The sequence below is a fragment of the Homo sapiens genome, chromosome 6 (genome assembly GCF_000001405.40).
Source record: "Homo sapiens chromosome 6, GRCh38.p14 Primary Assembly".
NCBI lineage: Eukaryota > Metazoa > Chordata > Mammalia > Primates > Hominidae > Homo > Homo sapiens.
The window spans coordinates 113,093,660-113,117,928 of NC_000006.12; the positions used below are offsets into that span (position 1 = coordinate 113,093,660).

The 24,269-nt window shown below is 34.8% G+C and overlaps 1 long non-coding RNA gene across 2 annotated transcripts; it reads right to left on the minus strand.

The window, feature by feature from the left end:
- Positions 1 to 622: 622 nt before the first annotated feature.
- On the minus strand, positions 623 to 18,096 carry LOC105377952 (uncharacterized). Of its 2 annotated transcripts, XR_942888.1 has the most exons (5): positions 18,041 to 18,096; positions 10,667 to 10,770; positions 9,263 to 9,434; positions 2,008 to 2,171; positions 623 to 662 (listed from the first exon to the last, which is right to left on the minus strand). It is a non-coding gene; the product is annotated as an uncharacterized LOC105377952 (long non-coding RNA). The 2 variants fall into 2 exon arrangements; XR_942889.1 differs by lacking the exon at positions 9,263 to 9,434.
- Between the last annotated feature and the right edge of the window lie 6,173 nt (positions 18,097 to 24,269).

The following is a 24,269-nucleotide window of genomic DNA, read 5'->3' on the forward strand; positions in this document are numbered from 1 at the left end:
GAGAAATTATTTTAAGGCAAGGAAACCAGAGGCTTGCTTCAATGTGCCACATAACAGGCTGGCTTTTTTTTGTTTGTTTCATTCAAGTCTTTCATCTCCACCTGCCTTTTCCTGGCGAGACACTGGAACTAGATGTGAATTTGAACTTGTAATGGGCAATGGACTCTGTTATCTTTACGTGCAAGGAGAGCACATTTCTATTTTCCTTCCCAGGAGTGAAGAAATGTTTTGTTAAGTGGATGTTAACATTTTATAACTTGTATCAAGAAAAATGATCAACAACAATTCAATTAGTTATATACTGTAATAATAATCACCACCATTGGTCATGCACTTATTTTCCAAAATGTCCACTGACAAGAACAGATATCAATTTCTCTGAGTTGCAGTCCAGCAATATAAATACTCACATAACAGAGAATCTAAGTGCCTGACTAAAGTGATAGCTACAAAGTTGAAACAGTGCATTAAATAAAACCTGAGTAAAAACTGCATAAAAAAGAGGGTGATGTTTATACTCATGCTGAGTTCCTGATGCACAGTTCATCACTCTTGGGCAGGCGCCTGTAGTCCCAGCTACTCGGGAGGCTGAGGCAGAAGAATTGCTTGAACCAGGGAGGTGGAGGTTGCAGTCAGCCGAGATTGCACCACTGCACTCCAGCCTGGGAGACAGAGTAAAAAAAAAAAAGAAGAGAGAGAGAGAGAGAGAGTCATTGAATTCTCACACCCAATGACCAATTAACCTGGCATAATGGTTTCTTCTTAGAAAGGTAGTTTGGGGAAAAGGAAAGAGTTGTTTTTGATTAGTCTTTTTCCTCCCCTCTCTCTTCCTTTATAGTTTTTCAAAAGTTGTCAATCCTTACTTACTCACATATTCCCATTTTAATAGCATATATTTCATGTACAGCTTTTTTGAAATATGTACAGAACTAAAATATCTAAAGCAAAATCCAAATTTCCTGTCTTCTCTCTGTTGTGATACTTTTGCAAATAAACTTCACACAAAAGTAATATCTGGTAATGTCACATGACTAGAAACTAAGGCATTCTAGTTAGAAGTCAAAGGAGTTTAAATAATAACTTGTATAACCTATACCAATATTGTGTTTTCTTCTGTTTCCTATTGTAGTTCTTCACAGAGCAACACAGAAGGTAAAGAAATCAAAATGATGTCCCAAAGTTTACGTCCATAGGAGCTGATTTCTCAATGGGGAATATTTAAATATGAATGATTCCCACAAGCATACTGAGCACATCGAAAAAAACTGTAAGAGCTCACTGTTTTGAAAAATCTGCTGTGCATACTAAAGTGGCTGCAACTTAAACAAACATTTGAAGCATTGTGCAAGAAGGAAAATTAACATAGACAGTGGTTAGCTATCTTCAGGAAAGTGCCCTTAAAAAATATTTAGATGGTTAGGTTGCTTATCGGATGATATTGCATATATGTGATATGGCAGACTGAAGGATGTTTATTTGTGTGTGTGAGTGTGTGTGTGTGTGTATGTATATCTTCAAACTATTATATATATATATATATAAAATCACTATATGTATAAAATATATAATTGCTCTCTCTCTATATATATATATATGATATACCCAAACTATTTTATCTTCTGACCCATCTAAAACTTACTAAGATTGAACTTACCTTGAACTACTATTTATTTTCCTAAAGGAGTTATTGAAATATCTTCTTTGCCCTGGTTAAGAATGAGCTATTTTATTACTAAATGTAGTTTCTTTATGGTAAGTGAGTGGAAATAGGCGTACAAATGGGCAGATAATTAGATATCATTGTTCCACTGCTGATGAAGTGGAACTATCTCAGTAGGGCTGAGTGTGGCCTTGGAAGTAGCCCTTCCCACAGGCCGAAAGTTGGGCACTGGCCTCCGAGCAGAAAGAAAGGCCTCCTTCCAAGAACAAACATTCACAGGTAGCATTCATACCTGAGGAAAATTTGCTTTTCATGGGCTCCTTCTAGCCCAATGTCCGCATACTCACCCAGGCGCAAGGCCATTTACGATGGTCCATGTGCTAGACAGGAGGAAGGCCTCGACAGGCACAATGCTAACTCCTCATTTCTCAAATAAGCTTCTATTTTTTTAACCAACTTGCTCTCTCATCAAGTTAGAGGCTTCATGTAAGCAATGCTGAGTGAATTTTCACTTTTACATGAGTCCAATTAGGACGTAAGGAAAAAAAGGAAAAAGAAAGATAATGTAAAACATGTTAGCAAATAGAACATGAAAACTCCAGATATAAAGCTCTGGAATTTTTATCTTTACAGTTATACTCCTCCCAAATGAAATCATATTGGACCAAGTTAGGAATGTTAGTGTAATTTTAAGAAAGTGGAGAAATGGAAAAAACATGATACCCCTAGAGATTCTTCAATCAGCCAACTTTGCAGCCTTTGGACAATTTCTATGGCGGACCTGATGTTAATTTTTCATTGGGTCATTTCCAAATCAAAGTAAAGAAGACATTACTGAATAAGATCCATGGTTATTTCATCAGTGATTAGGTAATTCTGTGGCAGATTTGTCTTCTTAAGTAACATTGAATTAATACACTAATAAAATATGCATTTAGCTCTTTCCTAAAAGTTTAAAAATTTTATATTAAAATGTTATACTTTATAGATTCTAAAAAGTCTTAGGTACTTTCAGGCTTCTGTTTCTAAGAAGATGGAGTAGATATATTTTTCCTGTTTCTTTTCTAGGTACAACTAAAAACCCTGTACATTATACATAAAACAAACATAAGAAAACTATGAAAGGTGAAGGGAAGAAGCCAGGCCATCTGAGACTGAGGATCAAAGGAACAACAGAATAGTGAGTTCCCTGGGTTTTCTTTTTGCCTCATAAATACCGGACTTGGTGCTTAAGAAGTCAACAGCTTAAAAACACCACAGGAGAAGATAAAAAGAAAGAGAAAGAGAGAGATAGAGAAGAGAAAAGAGAAAAACAACAAAAACTACTCTCTAATCAAAGGACAAGGAAAAGGCAACCTAACAAGATAGAGAACTTTTAGAAAATAAACACTACTTCAGCTTAACATCATAGAGGAAAAAAAAAAAAGGAAAACAAAGAGAAAAACAAAAATGTTTCCCCATCCCCACTCATGATAGCAACGGCTGCATGGTAAACATAGATATCCATCCTTGCCTAGCTATAATGGGGCATTCCAATTTACCACTCCCTCCACCATCACCACCAAATTGGTATCAGAAAGGCCAAGTAGGAAACCAGAATTTTAATCGTATTTGATAGTAACCAATGTAGCTGTCCCCCAGTAGTGTCAGTGGGGACCATGGGAAGGGGAGCCTGGACTTTCAGTCCCAGTCAGCAGTAATGAGCCATCCTTACTCCTCTTTATTGAGGTGCTGTAGGAGAAAACATATGAAGGAGTCAGGATTCTCATCACCCCCCCAGCAGTAGTGATATGGCTGGTAGTCACATGGGGATAATAATGAGGCATTTCTACCCCTCTTAGCCAGGGAGAGATCAATGAAGGTCCTACATGGAGTCAGAAATCTTACCCCTACCTCACAGCAAGAATAAGCTCTTTCCCCTTGTTATCAGCAGAGGCTGAGTGGGGACCTAAACCCTACTCCCACTAGTGGAACTCCAACTTCTAACCCCACCTGATAGCTACAAGAAATAAACTTCCCTTCTTCACCTGCCAGATGTTAGACAAAACCAGCAAAAATAAGAGCTTGCCCTTTCCTTGTTGACTAGAGAGAGAGTTTTTTGCTCTTGCTATTTTCTTTTCTTTTCTTCACTCCCCACCTTTCTTTTTAAAATCTCCTGTAGTATTTTCAGTTGTTGGCTTCTTTAGTTCCAAGTCTGGTATATATGAGGCAAAAATAAAACCCTGGGAACTCACTACTGTGTTGTTCCTTGGATCTCCAGCTCTAACATATCAATAATTACATTAAATGTAAGTGGTCCAAATACACAAATTATAAAACAGAGTAGAAGCTCAGTGGATTAAAAAACATGACCTAACTATATGCTGTCTAAAGGAAACTCACTTAAAATATACAATATAGGCAGGAAACAAAGAGATCCATCCTGTAAACATTAATGAAAAGAAACTAGAGTATTAATATTGGATAAAGTAGACTTTAAACCACTGTATTAGTCTTCTCTCATGCTGTTAATAAAGACATGCACAAGACTGAGTAACTTATAAAGGAAAGAGGCTTAATTGACTCACAGTTCTACATGGCTGGGGAGGCCTCACAACCATGGTGGAAGGTGAGGAGGAGCAAGTCACATCTTACATGGCAGTAGGCAAGAGAGAGATTCTGCAGGGGAACTTCCATTTGTAAAACCATCAGGTCTTTTGAGACTTATTTACTACCACAAGAACAGTATGGGGAAAACTGCCCCCATGACTCAATTATCTCTACCTGGCCCTGCCCTTGACACATGGGGATTATTACAATTCAAGCTCAGATTTGGGTGAGGACACAGCCAAACCATACAAACTGCAGAAAATTACCAAAGGTAGGGAGGACATTATATAATTTAAGAAAGAGGTCATTCCACCAACAAATACATAGCAATTCTAAGCTGTATGCACACACACACAAAAAAAAACAGAGCTGAAAAATATATGAAACCCACACTTACAGAAATGAAAAGATGAATGGACAAATACAAAATTATATTTGGAGACTTCAATATCTCTCTCTAAGCAGTTGTTAGAACTAGGCCAAAAAATCAACAAGGATATACAAAAATACAGCATCATTAACTAGCAGTGTATAATCAACATTTCCAGAACACCAAAACAAATAGCAGCAGAGTATATATTCTTTCTAAGTGACCATGAAATGTATACCAAGATAACTCATATCCTGGGCCATAAAACAAAAAATTTAAAATAATGAAAATTCATATACAAAGTATTCTTGAGAACAATGGAATCAAATGAAAAATCAATAACAGGAAGATTAAAAAAAAATCTCCAAACACTTGGAAACAACCACACTTCTAAATAGTCCATGGATTAAATAGGTAGCTAAAGGAATGCTGAAAGGTAAACTTATTAAAATTAAAATTAAAACTTCAGAATATTATCACACATACGTACCAATGAGCCACAAAAAAATTCATGAAAATAATTTATCATGTGTTAAGTATTTGATTTATGATAAAGTAAGGATTCTAAACAGTGTACAACAAAATGTTATTTACTAAATTTTAATTTAATTATAATTGGTTAGTTAAATTTTGAGGAAGATAGATTCACAAATTACACCAAAATAAAATTAATATTAGCAATTTAAAACAATTTATTATATAAAATTAATTTTAAAAACCTACTCAAAATAATCTGATTGAATATTTAGTTAATCTCTAACAATAAAAATCTTTCTGGGCCTAAAATGATAAAGAAAATTACAAACTAAAAGGTTATCCAATTATAATAAATAAAAATGTCAAACTTCTAAGGGACTACATTAGAAATGGGAAAATGTCTCAATAATTTAAGGCCCTACTTCAAGAACTTAGAAAAAGATGAGCAAAATAAACCCAAACAAACAGAAGCAAGGAAATATAAGAGCAAGAATCAAAAAAGTTGAAAATAGAAACACAATAGACTCAATAAAAGAAATCTCTATTAAAAGAACACGGAAAGAGCTGGTTCTTTGGAAAGATCAATAAAATTGACAAACTTTTAATAAGACTAACAAATAAAAAAGGAGAAGATACAATTACCACTATCAGAAGTAACACAGGAGATTACCACCACACACTCTTTAGACATCAAATTAATAATAAAGGAATACCATGAATAATTTGAATTCACACATACACTTGACAATGTAGATGAAATGGAATAGCATTCAAATATATGCAGTACCACAAGTCACCCAGAATTTAACTTGTAATAAAAAAAATCACCAAAAAGAAATCTCTAGTCCCAGATAATTTTACCAGAGAATGCTACAAAACTTTCAAAGAAGAGTTAATGCCTATTCTACCCAATCTCTTTTAGAAAATAAAAGAAGAGGGAATACTTTCCAGTTCATTTTATGAAACTAGTATTTCCCTACTACCAAAATCAGACAAACACAGTAAAACAAAGAACACTACAGACCAATATCCCTCCTGAATATAGACACAAAAATTCTTAACAAAATATTACCAAATAGAATTCAGCAGTATGTAAAATATTATACACCTTGACCAATTGATTTGTATCCCAGGAATGCAAAGCTGGTTTAAATTAAAAAATCACTGTACTCTGCCATATTAACAAACTAAAGAAGAAAACTCACATGATCATTTCAATTTATGTAAAAAAACTAAAAAAATTCAAAACATACTCATGAGAAAAATGCTCAGCAAGTTAAGAATAGAGGGAAACTTCCTTAATGTGATGAAGTCATGTATATAATACTTATAGCTAATATTATGCTTCTTGGTGAAAGACTGCTTTACTCTAAGGTTGAAGACAAAGCAAGGATTTGTATTCTTACCACTTTTACTTAATATAGTGCTGCAGGTTCTAGCTACAGTAATAAGGAAAGAAAAGGAAATAAAAGACATACAGGTCAGAAAGGAAGGAATAAATCCGTATATTTGCAAATGACATATTGTCTATATAGAACACACCAAGGAATCTACATAAAATCTTTTAGAACTAATAAGTGAGTTTAGTAGGTCAGAGGCTATAAGATTGAAATGCAAAAATCAATCATAATTTAATATTCTAGCAATGTTCATGTGAAAACCAAAATAAAAAATACAATACCTTTTACAAAGGCTCAAAGAATGTGATACTTAGGCTTAAATTTAAGAAAATATGTACAGAATGTATGTCTTCCACAAATTTAACAAAATTCCTATCCGAATCAAAAAAGAATTTTCTTAGATGTAGACAAAGTTACTATAAAATTTATATAGAAAAGCTAAGAAACAAGAATTGCTAAAACAATTTGGAAACATAGCTACAGTAATTGAAACTGTCATGTTGAGTGAGGGACAGACACACTGATGTAACAAAGTAGAGACTCAAAAATAGATCCACACAAATATTTCTAACTACATTTTGAAAAAGGCGAAAATGCAATTCAATGAAGGAAAGTCTTTTCAGCAAAAAAAGATTGCAGTAATTGAACATTGATTTGCAAAAAATAAACTTAAGTCTCACACCCAGTACACAAATTAACTCAACATGGATCACAGACTTAAGCACAAAATGTAAAACCAAATTTTTTGGAAAAATGTAGGAGAAAATATTTAGGATCTAAGATTAGACAGAGTTCTCAGACTTGATGCTAACATCACAAACCATAAAAGAAAATTTTGATAAATTGGATTTCATCAAAATTAAAACCTTGCTCTGTGAAAACCTTCTTAGGATGAAAAGATTTTGCACATGTTACAACTGATTATAAAGCAAAATAATTAAAACTTCAGAATATTATCACACATAGGTACCAATGAGTCACAAAAAATTTTAGGAAATAATTATGAAAATAATTTTATTATGTGTTATTTGATTTATGATAAAGTAAGCATTCTAAACAATGGGCAACAAAAAGTTATTTACTAACTTTTAATTTAATTATAATTGCGTAAATTTTGAGGAAGATTGATTCACAGATTACACCAAAACAAAATTAATATTAGCAATTTTTAACAATTTATTATATAAAATTATCATTAGTATTATTATTTTTTGAGACGGAGTCTCGCTCTGTCGCCCAGGCTGGAGTGCAGTGGCAAGATCTTGGCTCACTGCAAGCTCTGCCTCCCAGGTTCATGCCCTTCTCTTGCCTCAGCCTCCCGAGTAGCTGGGACTACAGGCGCCCACCACCACGCCTGGCTTATTTTTTGCATTTTTAGTAGAGACGAGGTTTCACTGTGTTAGCCAGGATGGTCTCGATCTCCTGACCTGGTGATCTGCCTGCCTCGGCCTCCCAAAGTGTATAAAACTAATTTTAAAAACCTACTCAAAATAATCTGATTGAATATTTAGTTAATCTCTAGCAATAAAAATCTTTCTGGGCCTAAAATGATAAAGAAAATTACAAACTAAAAGGTTATTCAATTATAATAAATAAAAATGTCAAACTTCTATCAGGGAAAAATATAATTTAAAAAGGCATGAGAAAAATGTGTTCATAAACTACCATGAACACAAATGTCAATAGTTACATTTTATAAAGAATTTATTAGAAAATAATTAAGATCTTAGTTGTTAACACACAGATTTTTAAAAAAATTGTTTACAAAGTTGATAATTTCCATAGGGAAAAAAACTTATATTAAAAAGATGCATCATTTTTCCATCAAGGTAAAAGCCGAATGTATTTTTTTTGTTGTTTTTGCTTTTGTTTTGTTTTCGTTTTTTTTGTTTTGTTTTGTTTTGTTTTGTTTTGTTTTGTTTTGTTTTGTTTCAGAAGGAGTCTAGCTCTGTGGCCCAGGCTGGAGGGCAGTGGTATTGGATTTTTTTTTTTTTTTAAACATAAGGATAACCAGTGGTTACACGATCATTTGTTGAAAAGTTTTTTCCTACCCCATTGAATTCTATTGGCATATATGTCAAAAAGTAACTGGACATACATGTGTACAGTGGCGCAATCTCGGCTCACTGCAACCTCTTTCTCCTGGGTTCAAGCAATTCTCCAGCCTCAGCCTCCTGAGTAGCTGGGATTACAGGTGCGGGCCAATAAAAATATTTTTAGTAGAGATGGGGTTTCTCCATGTTGGCCAGGCTGGTCTTGAACTCCCAACCTCAGGTGATCCACCCATCTTAACCTCCCAAAGTGCTGGGATTACAGGCACAAGCCACTGCACCTGGCCAAAACTAACTGTATTTGATTACAGTCAATATTAGGGAGTTGATGGTAAACCTGGTACACTGCTGGTGGTAAGGTAAGTAGAAAAAACCTGCATGGAAAGAAAATCTAATTATGCATTAAGAACCATTTAAAAGTTTGTACATTTTAATCCAGTAATTTCACTTACTTTTTTACTCTTGGCATGACATAGCTGCATTCAAAATATCACTGCAGTTTTCAATAAGAAGAAAACAACACTAAGAAAATGGTGAAAGAAATGTGTTACAGCCCACACCATTGAAATGATATGGCTGTTAAAAATAATAAGAGGAACATTATTTACAAGGGGAAATGGTAATTACAATAGGAGAAATAGAATAAAAATTTGGAAAACTTCTGTGAATAATGACCTGGAAGCGCATTGAACAAAGTCTATGTGGTAGCCCTTACCAAATGTTTTCTTAACATAGCTGTTTCCTGTCTGTTTGTGCTGCAGTTACACTTCTGTCTTCCTGTTAGTCAGCTTTTGGACAATCTCTCAGATTCCCAAGAGGCCAACTGCCACCATCATGAAAAACATCCTGACCACGGGAACTACAATTTTCCTAAGATCCATTTATCCCTGTGATTGGATGTAGACGCGATTTTCAATTAATTATTTGTACTTTTCTAGGAGTTTCCTAAGCCCTATATTTTCCAAAATGCAGTTATATGCCTAAGCAAGTTATTCACTGAATAAATTCTTGATCCTAAATATTTATCATTAGCAGATAATAAAAACAAACATGACTCCCTCTTTGTTATTTTCTATAAATATTCTATTTTGCCTGCGGATTTACATTAGATTTGAAAACTAAAACAGTTCACAAGTAATCAGAGCACTTCCTGAAGTGAAAGATGAAATTATCTTTGTATTTTACTTTATTTTATCCTTCAAATAATATTCCAACACTGTTAACAATAGTTTCCTTTTTCATAGAAGTTGAGCACATTAGGTATTTCCAAAATGAAGCATTAAAATTTACTTCATAAATAGGCCTCTATAAGAGACTTTCCAGAATAACTTTTAAAAAGGCATCAAATGTTGTACATAAGATATACTTGAGAGTTCAGCCAATATCAGTATTTTTACTTTGCAGATTTGCTGTTTCTTTAAATATTTATGTGTTTCTCACATGTATTGCCAGTTTTGACTAAAACAAATTTGTTTCTCTTTTAAGGGGAAATAACTGGTTAGGACCGATAGTGACTCAGAATTTGTGGTTTTCTTTAAAAAGAAAATAGATATTATTCTAATAGCAACCTTCTTTCAGTAGCTGGAAATCTTGAGTTGAAACTAGAAAGAATTTCAATCTTTTAAACATGGAAAAATGTGTAAATGCACAAACACAGGTCTTAACTATCAGTCAAGAAACCAGTAACTGGTTCACTTTGGAATAAAAAGAGAGACAGGGAAGGGATATGACTAAGACATGTTTTCACTGTCTACAGCTTGAACTTATGATTTGTTTTGTTGTGTGTGGGTATATATTATTTAAACGACTGCACATATATATAGATTATTTGAAAAATATACTGAAATAAATAAAACTATTGTTTGAGATTAGACTTTCTTCTTTATAACTGTTTCTTTTTCTTTTTTAAAAAAGTTTACATTTAAGGAAAATTCCATTTGGGAATGTTTTAAGAAAAAAATGTTCTTAACTCTCAATGATTTATTACCATGCCTGCCACTGGGTTTGGTATGTTTAGGAATCTGCAAGTAGTTATACAGCTGCCAAGTTGCTTTACTGGTTGTTACTGATCTGTAGAGCATGTACCACGAGTAAGTCATAAAACATCACCAGGACTTACATGCTTTTGTAAAAAAGGGAACCCATGATTCGTATTGATTTCTTGTGCATGGAGGGTATCGTAAATAATTTATCAAATACCGTTTGGAATTCTTATTGTTTTACCTGGAAAGAAGGCAAAAATGTAATCATTGTTATCATAGTAAGCCATAAAGTTAAAAAGTGCCAATCTAAAGAGTAAGTTATTATGACTGTAAAGTTTAAATTGGTTATGGGTCGAGAATAAAGATGATATTTATACTGTTGATTTAGAATATTGTAAGACCAAAGGAAATATAAGAGCAAGAGCTGTAGCTACTTCTAAAGATAAATATCATGAGTGAAACTAGTTTAATCAGAGGAATGCAGTAGCAAGTATTCAAAACCTTAAACCAAGCCATGCTGCTAATGTTTCACCAGCATAACATTATTCCAAGACCTCAGTGTCATGAGTTCCACTTTAGCTTCTTGCTAACATTTCTGTTTATAATTATTTAAGCGGACATGAAAACCCTGTGTGTGTGTCAAATGCAGAATTGTAGTCTAACCACCATTAGATGTCCACAGGCATCTGTAATGAGCCCACGGAAGCCTCGATGCCATCTCTCTGACCATTATGTTCCACAAAGTGCAATATTTTAAGTGTAAATTCTGTTATCTATTTGTGTAACCAAAATGCAAACATCTTCTAAAAATGCCACTGACCACTTAGAATTGGTGGTAACCAAAGTAAATTTTGTTTAAATATATTGACATGGACTCACCTCAGTTCTTGGCTTGGGAATTAGAACTTGAAAGAGATGCTTTATGAATGGGGCAGAAAATTCCATGAGTCATTAAACTCTTGAGCTTACATTTCACAATAACGTTAACGTATGGAGTAAAATATTCTATATTAGGACAACTACCTCAAAAATTACTCTATTTAGCACTGAAGACTTAGACAAAAAAGACACCATCACTTCCCTCAAGAAGTTGGTAGTGTATACGGCCAGAAGGGAAATTAGATAATGATATAACAAAAGGTATGGCAAAGAAAGTTACATAGAAATAGTATCCAACCACGACTAGAGACAATGGGGAAGGAGAGGAAGGCTTCCTAGAAGTGAAGATTGAGAAACACATGGAGCCAGTTAAAGAAGAAGAAAAGATGGAGGAAATGTATCTAGATAGAAAATGTAGCATAGAATGGTATGGATGAAACCTGGAACATGATTTGCTCAGGAAACTGCATGATGGGTAGGTGGCAATGGAAGAAGAATGAGATATCATTGATTACTTGCAAAAGTAGGCTAGGATAGGCCACAAATGGCAAGGCATGTTTGAAAGTCTACTGCCAAGCTGGTACAGTTCTGATAAGGCCATCAGAAATGGCATAGAGAAGCACTTGTGTATTCAAGGGAATAGGTATACTCTTGAATGCCAAAGAACACCTATTCTAACCTAATGATATACAAAGCAACAGGCCTGCAGTAAAAAGAAGCAAGCCTTCTTTTCTGCTTCATAGCCTTCTCACTCATGTGGGCTATTGCTAAACACCAAACCAATACCCTTTTCATGAGTATGTCCTTCGAGCTGCTCATTTGCTCACTTTGTATGTGGGGAGTTAGGAAAACGATCTAGCTCCTGTTGTTGCTCTTGTTCAGTTTTATTTTGGTCTAGAAATAGTATTCCTTGAAAGATGAATACAGAAGACCTATTTAGGTGGTAGGGTAATGATTAGATAATTGGTTTAGCTTTTCTGGAGGTATCTTTGGGAAATAAAATTGTGTACACTTAATAAACACAGACATACATAAATCTGTGTTCAGTAGCAGATAATAGAATAGGTAGATGATAACATACATAAATAATGTTTACTACCATTGAAGTATATAAGATTAACCCAGGAGGATCAGAGTGAAATGGAGATTGAAGACAGAGCTCTGAAAAACAGGAATGGTCTTTATATAGCTGAATAAAGAAGTGCCTTTACAGCCGAGGAAAAGTAGACAAAAGGATAAGGAGAAATGGAAAAAGGAGTTGAAAAACCAGAAGAGAGTCATGTTCTAGAAATCAATAGAAAGGAAACTTTCTTAAAATATTTCATTAAATGGGCAATGACTAGATGCACTTTTTGATAACATGAATAAACTCTGGCAAATCTATGTCAAGTGGATTAAATTTTCCACTACACATAGAGGTCAAATAAATCAAGAAATAAGTACTTTTTGTGATAGTTACGGGAGCTATTTCATTGAACTGGTGAAGATAAATGTAGCAAGGTAGAATGGTATGTAAAGGTGCACAGAGGATTAAAAGGTATATGGTGTTGCTATATGTTATTTTTTAATGTACAAATTAAAGAAACCAGAACAGAGAAGAAATAGCTGTGTGAGAGAGAGAGAGAGAGAGAGAGTGTGTGTGTGTGTGTGTATGCGAGAGAGAGAGAGAGAGAGAGTGGGAGAGAGAGAGAGATACTCAGTAGAAAACTAGAATTATGAAAGAGGAGAGAATTAATGGGTGGGAATTGAACAATGAGAACACTTGGACACAGCATGCGGAACATCACACACTGGGGCCTGTCGTGGGGTCGGGGGATGGGGGAGGGATAGCATTAGGAGAAATACCTAATATAAATGACGAATTAATGGGTGCAGCAATCTAACATGGCATATGTATACATACGTAACAAACCTGCACGTTGTGCACATATATCCTATAAATTAAAATATTTTTTTAAAATAGTAATACAAGTTATTGTGAAAGACAAAAATAACATTATTTATTTTGTTTTAGTTTAATCTATAGATGCAGGACATTTCTAACAAGTTTCAAATAGCCTCTTCCTATTTTAATTTTTAAAATAAATATGTAAGTAGTATGGTTTCTTATCTGAAATCTTCAGATTATTCATTTTTATTCTAATAAGAATGGTCTTCATTACATGTATGTCTATACGTATCTGTATATGTATACAGATACACATATATATTTACAATATATAATATGTGGACAAATATACTTTCCCAAAATACATTTGAACCTTTACTACAGAATTGTTATTTATGGAAAATTTTCAAGAGTAAAATTTAATAGGTAACTGAAGGGTCATTAATCTAAAACAAGACATTTTGAAGATTGTCTTCCATTTTCAGGGACTACTTTAAGGACTTAATTAATTAAATGATCTGCATATAAAATTTTATTTATAAGTAACACCCCCCACAAGTAGGCATTGTATGATAAAATCCAAGTGCAGCAATATGGAGAAGCTATTGATTTTCCTGTATGCAGAAAGAGGGCAATGTTTAAAAAGAAGGATGGTGAGTTTTTTTGGGGATATGTTTATCTCTAAAGTCAGTTGAGCTGAAGCTTTTAGGGCAGGGCAGGTCAAGAGATACAGGTTTGGATGTCATTGGCATATAACTCAGTGTTTCTCAAATCATGGTCTATGGACCACTAGTATCAGAATCACCTGGAGATGATTGCGAAAAGTCAAGGTAACCTAGGTGCCATTAATTTGAAATAATCAAGGCTTCTTAATTTGAATATGTGCAAGAGTGGCCCTAAGAATCTTCATTTTAATTGAAACACCTCATATAATACTTAAGCCCACTAAAGGTTTTCTTTTTGTGTGTGTGGTGGTGGTGTATTTATTTTATTTTATTTTATTTTTCTTTTCAACTTTTAAGTTCAGGGGTACATGTGCAGGATGTGCAGGTTTGTTACATAAGTAAACATTTGCCTTGGTGGTTTGCCACACAGGTCATCCCATCACCCAGGTGTTAAGCCCAGCATCCACTAGCTATTCTTTTTGATCCTCTCCCTCCTCTTGCCTTTTGCCCTCCAACAGACCCCAGCATGTGTTGTTACCCCACATGTGTCCATGTATTCTCATATTTAGCTCCCAGTTATAAGTGAGAACATATAGTATTTGGTTTTCTGTTCCTGCATTAGTTTGATAAGGATAATAGCCTCCAACTCCATTCATGTCCCTATAAAGAACATGATCTTGTTCCTTTTTATGGCTGTATAGCATTCCATGGTGTATATGTACCACATATTCTTTACCCAGTCTACTATTGATGGGCATTTTGGTTGATTACATGTCTTTGTTATTGTGAATAGGGCTGCAATAAACATACGGATGCATGTGTCTTTATGATAGAACAATTTATATTTCTTCGGGTATATACCCAGTAATTGGATTGCTGGGTCAAATGGTTATTTCTGCCTCTAGGTCTTTGAGGAATTGCCACACTGTCTTCCACAATGGTTGAACTAATTTACACTCCCATCAACAGTGTATAAGCATTTATTTTTCTCCACAATCTCGCCAGCATCTGTTGTTTTTTGACTTTTTAGTAATAGCCATTCTGACTGGTGTGAGATAATATCTCATTGTGGTTTTCATTTGCATTTCTCTAATGATCAGTGATGTTGAGCTTTTTTTCATGTGTATGTTGGCCACATCTGTGTCTTCTTTTGAGAAGTGTCTGTCTGTTCATGTTCTTTGCTCACTTTTTAATGCGGATTTTTTTTCTTGTAAATTTGTTTAAGTTCCTTATAGATGCTAGATATTAGACATTTGTCAGACGAATAGATTGCAAGAATTTTCACCCATTCTGTAGGTGGTCTCTTTATTCTGTTGATAGTTTCTTTTGCTGTGCAGAAGCTCATTAGTTTAATTAGATTCCAGTTGTCCATTTTTGCTTTTGTTGCAATTGCTTTTGGTGTCTTTGTCATGAAATCTTTGTCTGTGCCCATGTCTTCAATGGTATTGCCTAAATTCTCTTTTAGAGTTTTATAGTTTTGGGTTTTACATTTAAGTCTTTAACTCATCTTAAGCAGATTTTTGTATATGGTGTGAGGATGGGGTCCAGTTTCAATTTTCTGCATATGGCTAGCCAGTTCTCCCAGCACCATTTATTAAGTAGGAAATCCTTTACCCATTGATTGTTTTTGTCAAGTTTGTCAAAGGTCAGATGGTTGCAGGCATGCAGTCTTATTTCTGGGTTATTTATTCTGTTCCATTTGTTTATGTTTCTGATCTTGTACCAGTACCATGCTGTTTTGGCTACTGTAGCCCTGTAGTATAGTTTAAAGTTGTTAAGCCCACTAATGGTTGATAAATGGTTTGCTCACCCATAGCAGAAGTCAAAGCACCCAAGCAGAAAATATAGAATGAGTTCCCCTAGGAAAAGAACTCTGTTTTTCATTTCTGTATGTCTAGTAGCAATATGTTTCCTGAAATTTACTATATAATCAATAAATAACTATTAAAATATTTTTGAATTTTCTGGAAATAATGTACAGTATGCAGCAAGAATCATAAAAATGTCCATATTTTGATCTAGTAATATAATTTCTGGAAATTTATTTTGAGTAATAATCCAACAGGAAAGAAAATGTTATCTATAGAGATGTTTAGCACAACACATTCATAATAGCAAATAATGAGCATTAGCAAATGACAAGAAATAGGGGTATAAGTAAGTAAAGAAGAAGATATTTGTCTACTATATGACATAATTTGTTACAACTAGAAATAGTAGTTATAAAAGCAGAATAGTAACAAAGATAAATAAATATTAATGTTACAAAAGATATTTTATATATGCTATGGTTACAACTATAAAGAATGATATGCTGTTTTACATGTACTAAGAGAAATATAAACAATGAAAACCATTTCATTTTGTAAGCTGAAAGATTATAAGTGATTTCATAATCATTTCAGTTAATTACATTGGAATGTTATGTATATCATAAATAATTCTTTTCAGAAATTAATGACATCCCATTTAACAATTTCAAATCACTATAAATGTGACATATGGTTAAATAAGACTTAATTCTGCTCAAATGAAAAAATATAAATATGATCTAGAGGAAGTTTAATAAAAAGAAATAAAAAGGTATCATAATTAATTCCTAGATGCCCAATAATTTTCACGAACAAACATCAGCAGATGTTCTTGCAACTTATTCACAAATAGCTCTAAATGCTAGTGCACTTTCAAATGAATAGAATTCAATAAAATGAGATATTTCTGTCTCCCCTCCCTCCCTTTCCTCTTGCAGTTAGCACAGAAGAATGTGGAAATGTGTTTGATATTTTTGTCACTGAATTTTCCACCTGTTTCATGACATGCCAACATAAACACATAAGGGCTCACATACCATTTACCCACCCCATACATACATGCATGTAAAATCACTCAAATCACAGTGTCCAATGAAACTAAAGAAGCAGATAGATTTCAGTATAAAAATTAAAGATCAAATCAGTCTTATAGAGAACAGTATAGTGCCTGTTTTGCTAGTGAACATTTGTTGAATAAATGTCTGTAGGCTGTATTTGTGCAGAATTTGTCCTATGCCTGCCCTGCTTTTTTATAACGAGTAGCAGGGCTGAGGAATTAGCAAATTCCTACTGTAGAATGACCACCATTACCTATCAAAAAATGAAACCTAGGATTATGAATTGCCTAATTAGCTTTGGTCATTTTGCAATATCTGAGAAATAATGATAATGTAACAGACAGCCAGAGAAAAGGAAGCCCACATTGATGACAGAGATATAAAAGGAAAACATGAATTTTCATGAAAGATAACAGTGCATTCTCTAAGGTAGTAAATGGAGGTGGAAGTGGGGACAGGGAAAGAAAAAAGAAGTGAAGACAGCAAGTACAGAGAAAGGGCTCAAGATCTTCTGATGACAAAAGAGTTAAAGAGATTGGTAGAATATAAAGAGAGTATGGATAGGAGGGTATGTTGACCTGAATTTTTCATTCAGTAAGAAAAAGATCAAGTAGAGAAGGAGCGGATCATAATTCAAGGCAAAGCAGTCAACAGATAAAGCAAAGTCCCTTGAGAAGATAAGGAGGTTTTCAGCAGCACAGTTGAATGAATTAGTCTTCAATGGAATAATTAATCCTTCCAGACTAGATTGAAGAGAATAAGGATGCGGTGGCCCCACTGATTTGTCTGTGGATATAAAAAGCAGGAAGTTGAGTGAGAGTGTGGAGGAAAAGGAAAAGAGTTTCAATCATGAAGAGAATGGCAAGACTTTGGAGTTTTTGTTGACGGCAACAAGATAGGAGCATTTAGAAGACAACAAAGAGACTGAAATAGATAGAGAACCCATCAGAACTGAGAGGCAGTGAATTTGTAAAGAGGCCAAGTTGCATGGTTTTGCAAATTCTCCAGCACTGTTTACAATGGAGAAGGCAGATTGTTGCAAAGATCGAGGACTAGGACACTGCAGGACAGTTATAAAATGGAAAGAAGAGCAAAGGAAATGAAGATTTAAAGGGTCCGCTTGAAAGAATAAATCAGGTGATTAACTGTCAAATCTTTAAATTGAATTAAAAAAATCTTTGATTGAATAAATATATAAGTAATTTCTTACCATAAGGTGTCCAAGTACAGCAGCATAGCTCCATCATCATCATCATCATCATCATCATCATCATCATCAAATAAAAAGGATAATTATTTATACTGGGAGAGAAATAGTGAATTGAGCATTAACTTGGTAGAAATTATGTTAGTGTTTTTATTCAGTACAAATAAAATGTGACCTTTCCATTATTTTAAGAGTAAATATGTCTTCTCTATTTAGAGAGTAGATAAACATGTAAAGTGCGACAGAGATGCCAGTTGCCCATAGCAGCCTCTCTATTAAAGGAAAAGCATTTTTGAGAGATTTGGGGTACAGCTATTTATTTCATTTCTCAGTTAGTCCAAACCCGAACCATATAAGGTAAGTCATTTGTCTCAACTGGCCCTATGGAACATGAGGACACTTTAGATTCTTTGGAATTAAGCAGCCATATGGAACTTGTAGTGAGCTTACAACTGAGACATATGGCAGCAGAATGGAGCCAGCCTTGAGGCTGTATAAGCACCCCAGTGACCATCAGCAGTCAATTAAGAGTTGAGACAAGAGAGAAACGTCATTTTAACTCTTGTAAAATTTATGTAGTAGACACATCCTTGCTGCCTTTCATAAGCTTGTTTCTTGGTTTATGGGTCAAACTGGAGCCAGAGGAAATGTTTTCCTGGCTTCCTCTTATAGAAAGCATCTGAATTCTTGTCCAGTTCTTAGGAAGTCGGGGATTCAAATTTCTGCTTCTACTTGGGGAAAGCTTAGCAGACTAGATTAGCTCCAGTACTGTTCTCAGCAATCTCCAGATGAAATATTCCTTTAACTCTCAGAATATATTTATATCCCCAAGACTTTTTCATTCTTTAAGCAAGTTCTGCATATCTACTTTCTACCAATCACTTCGTAGCTCTGATGGCACAAAATGAAAGTCATAGTTCTTTTTTTCAAATAAATCATGAAGGAGACTGACAAGTAAACCATAATTATAACACGACAGAGTGAGTATTCTCATAGAAATGTAGTACTCTGTGAACACAGGCTAGCTCTCCACCCTAACTGGGAGAGTCTTCTGAAGGAAGAATTGTCTGTGCAGAGTCTTGAAGGATGTGTGTAGATAGCAAGAAATAAGATGACGGAGGAAGGCAAGCATTTGACATGATACGTGTATCGACTGCAAAAACAAATAAAGCAAGAAGCAGCATCATTTAAAGAAGAACTCAGCAGAATGTGTTGCGGCTAGGACATAAGGCATATGAAAGTGTGTTGGAAATGGAGGGTGGATAGGTTTGCAAGAGCCAGGCCTGAAGGCTTTGAGTGGCAGTCTTGGCTATTTGACCTTCACAGCCTGATGTTGTGAAGAGCCATTGCTATGGTTACATAAAAATGAAGTGGTCAGATCTGGATCTATCTATCTAGCTATCTAGCTATCTATCTGTATCTGCAGAGTAGAGGACAGATGTAGAAATGTGCAAGGAGGATGGAGATTATGGAAGAAAAGATGGTGCAACACCACAGGAAGAACAATTAGGGGGCTACCTCTGTTACCTGAGCTAGAAGTGTGATGAAAACATGACCTTCTATGTTTGAGAAGACATAAGAGATTTTGGAGAAGGCAAAGATAAGATACCTTAAGAAAAATCAGAGAATAGCAGTAATAAGTATTGGTAACATATTGTGTTCAGAGTTAAGGAAGAGCAGGAGTCTAGGATAACATTAGGCTTTGGCTTATGGGTTGGTCATTCACAAAAATAGGTGGGGTATGCAGAATAACAGCCCTCTCCAAATATGTTTGTTTTCTAATTTCAGAATCCTATGTATATGTTATGTAACATAGCAAGGGGAAATAAAGAATGTACATGGAAAATTGGGACGCTGAGGTGGGCAGATCACGAGTTCAGGAGATCGAGACCATCCTGGCTAACACGGTGAAACCCCATCTCTACTAAAAATACAAAAAAAAAAAATGAGCTGGGCGTGGTGGCGGGCACCTTTAGTCCCAGCTACTCAGGAGGCTGAGGCAGGAGAATGGCGTGAACCCGGGAGGCGGAGCTTGCAGTGAGCTGAGACCAAGACTCCAGCTCAAAAAAAAAAAGTACATGGAATTAAGGTTGCTAATCAGCTCACAGTAAAACCACTTCCTTTCAAGTGGAAGAGGAAGGAAGGCAGTTTTCAAACTGCAGCCTCTATCCAAGGGAGCCCTGTGAACCAGGACATCCAACAAAAGAAATTTGTACACAAAGATGGTAATCAGAGGGGGCTTCTTCAAAACTGAGGAGTGTACTAAAATTTAAGCCAGTTGAATGAACCCACTTTATACCACAAACACTCAAGGGCATAAAAGAACATAAAAGCAAGCAAGCAAAGAAACAACAACAATAATTAAAAAAAAACAACCCAAAGGACAGGGAACTCTGAAGATTGAAAGAATATCAGCCCACACAGATGAGAAAAAAGCCAGCATAAGAACTCTGACAGCTCAAAAAGCCAGAGCGTCTTCTTACTTCTAAACAAATACACTAGTTCCCCAGCAATGGTTCTTAACCAGGCTGAAGTGGCTGAAATGTCAGAAACAGAATTCAGAATATGGATAGGAATGAACATCACGAACATTCAAGGAAAAGTCAGAACTCAATTCAAGGAATCTAAGGAATATAATAAAAGCAAATAGGAAATAAAAGATAAAATGGCCATCTTAAATAGAATTAAACTAAACTGACACAGTTAAAAAACACACCTCAAGAATTTCTTAATTATAAGTATTGCTAGTAGAACCAACCAGGCTAAGGGAAGAATCTCGGAGCTCGATGACCAGCTCTCTGAAATAACTCAGTCTGGCAAAAATAAAGAAAAAAAAACAATAAAGAATAAATAAAAACTCAGAAAAATATAGGATTAGGTAAAGAGATCAAATGTATGGCTCACTGGTGCCCCTGCAAGAGAGAGAAAGCAAGCAACTTGGAAAACATATTTGAGGATATCATCCATAAAAATTTCCTCAAATTCTCTCAGATGCCAAAATTCAAATCCAGGATATGCAGAGAACCCCTGCCATATACTACACAAAACAACCATCCCCAGGACACATAGGCATCAGATTCTCCAAGGTTAAAATGAAAGAAAAAAATATAAAAGGCAGCTAGAGAGAATGGGCAAGTCACCTACAAAGGGAACCCCATCAGACTCACACTGGACCTTTCAGCAGAAACCCTACAAGCCAGAAGAGATTGGATGCCTTATATTCAAAGAAATTCCACCCAAGAGTTTCGTATCAAGCTAAATTAAGCCTCATAAGCAAAGGAGAAATCAGATCCTTTTCAGACAAGCAAATGCTAAGGGAATTCATTACTATCAGACCTGCCTTACAAGAGGTCTTTAAGGGAGTGTTAAATATGGAAATAAGGAAAGACTCTCCTAGGCACCATATAAACACACTTAAGTACATAGACCATTGATGCTATAAAACAATTATTCAATCCAGTCTGCATTATAACCAGCTAACAACATGATGACAGGATCAGACCTACAAATATCAATATTAACCTTGAATTTAAATGGGCTAAATGCCCTCAGTTAAAACACACAGAGAGGCAAGTTGTATAAAGAAGTAAGACCAAAGTGTGTGCTTTTTATAAGAGACTCATCTCACATGCAATGACACCCACAGACTCAAAGTAAAGGGACTGAGAAAAATCTACTAAGCAAACAGAAAAAAGCAGAAGTTGCTATTCTAATTTCAGACAAAACAGGCTTTAAACCACCAATGATGAAAAAAATGGAGATTGTTACATCATGGTAAAGAGTTCAATTTAACAAGAAGATCTAACTATCCTAAATATGTATGCACTCAACACAAGAGCACTCAGATTCATAAAGCGAGTGCTTAGAGACCTACAAAAGACTTAGATAACTTCACAAGAATAGTGGGAGATTTCAACACCTCATTGACAGTATTAGACACACCACTGAGGCAGAAAACTAACAAAGATATTGGGGAATGAACTTAAAATTGGACCAAATGGGCCTAACAGATATCTACAGAACTCACCACCCAAAAACAACAGAATATACATTCTTCTGTTTACCACATGGCACATACTGTAAAATAAACCACACAACTGGCCATAAAACATTCCTTAGCAAATTAAACAAAAAACTGAAATCATACCAAATACACTCTTAAAACACAGCACAATAAAAACAGAAATTACTACTAAGAAAATTGCTCATAATCATACAATTACATGGAAATTAAACAACCTGCTCTTGAATCACTTTTGGGTAAACAATGAAATTAAGGCAGAAATCAAGAAATTATTTGAAACTAATGAGTACAAAGATATACTATAACTGAATCTCTGGGACATAGCTAAAACAATGTTAAGAGAGAAGTTTATATAGCACCAAATGCCCACATCAAAATGTTACAACGATGTCAAATTGACAAACTAACATCATACCTTGAGGCACTAGAGAAAAAAGAGCAAACAAACCACAAAGCCAGCAGAAGACAAAAAATAACCAAAATCGTGACTGAACTAAAGGAAATTGAGATGCAAAAAAAACATACAAAAGATCAATGGATCAAAGAGTTGGTTATTTGAAAAAATAAATAAAATTGATAGACAGTTAACTAGACTAAAAACAAAAAAGAAGAGAGGATCCAAATAAACACACTCAGAATTACAAAGGAGACATTACCACTGACCACAGAAAAATAATAAAAAAAAAACTCTGAGACTATGAACACCTCCATGCACACCCGTGCACACAATCTAGAGAATCTAGAAGAAATGGATAGATTCCTGGAAACATATAATTTCCCAAGGTTGAACCAGGAAGAAATTGAATCCCTGAACAGAACAATAATGATTCCTCAAATTGAATCACTAATAAAAAGCCTACCAACCAGAAAACGCCCAGGATCAGATGGATTCACAGCCAAATTCTACCAGATGCGTAAAGAGCTGGTACCATTCCTACTGAAATTATTCCAAAAAAAAAAAATGAGGGGGAAAAAGTTCTTCCTAACTCATTCTGTGAGGCCAGTATTGTCCTGAAACCAAAGCTTGACAGAGGCACAACAACAACAAAAAAGAAAACTCTAGGCCAATATTATTGATGAACATAGATGCAAAAATCCTCCACAAAATATGAGCAAATCATATCCAGCAGCACATCAAAAAGCTAATCCACCATGATCAAGGAGGCTTTATTACTGGGATGCAAGGTTGGTTCAACATACACAAGTCAATAAATGTGATTCACTATGTAAACAGAACTAAAAACAAAAACCACATTATATCTCAATAAATGCAGAAAAGACTTTTAATAAAATTCAACATTCCTTCATGTGAAAAACCCTCAACAAACTAGGCATTAAAGGAGCATACCTCAAAATAATAAAAGCTATTATGACAAACCCACAGCTAACATCAAAATGAGTGGGCAAAAGTTGGAAACATTCCCTTTGAGAACCAGAACAAGATGAGAATGCCCACTCTCACCACTCCTACACCACAATGACACCACTTCCGACATAATACTGGAAGTTATAGACAGAGCAATCAGGCAAGAGAAAGAAAGAAAAGGCATCCAGATGGGAAGAGAGGAAGTCAAATTTTATTTCTTCACAGATGATACAATTCTATACCTAGAAAATCCCATAGCCTCTACCCAAAAGCTCCTTAAGCAGATGAATATCCTCAGCAGTTTGAGGATACAAAATCAATGCATAAAAATCAGTAGCATTTCTATATACCAAGAACATCCAAACTGAGAGCCAAATCAAGAAAGCAATTCCATTCACAATAGCCACAAAAAGAATAAAATACTTAGGAATGCAGCTAACCAGAGAGATGAAAGATCTCTACAAAGAGAGTTACAAAACACTTTTAAAAGAAATCAAGAGATGACACATACAATGGAAAAACATTCCATGCTCATGGATAGGAAGAGTCAATATCATTTTAATGGCCATACTGCCCAAAGCAATTTACAGATTCAATGCTATTCCTACCAAACTACCAATGACATTCTTCACAGAATTAGGAAAACCTATTTTAAAATTCATATGGAACCAAAAAAGAGCTCAAATAGGCAAGGCAATTCTAAGCAAAATAACAAAGCTGGAGGGCATCATGTTATATGATGTCAGACTATACTACAAGGCTGCAACAAACAAAACAGTATGGTAGTGGTACAAAATAGACAGATATATCAATAGAAAAGAATAGAGAGCCCATAAATTAAG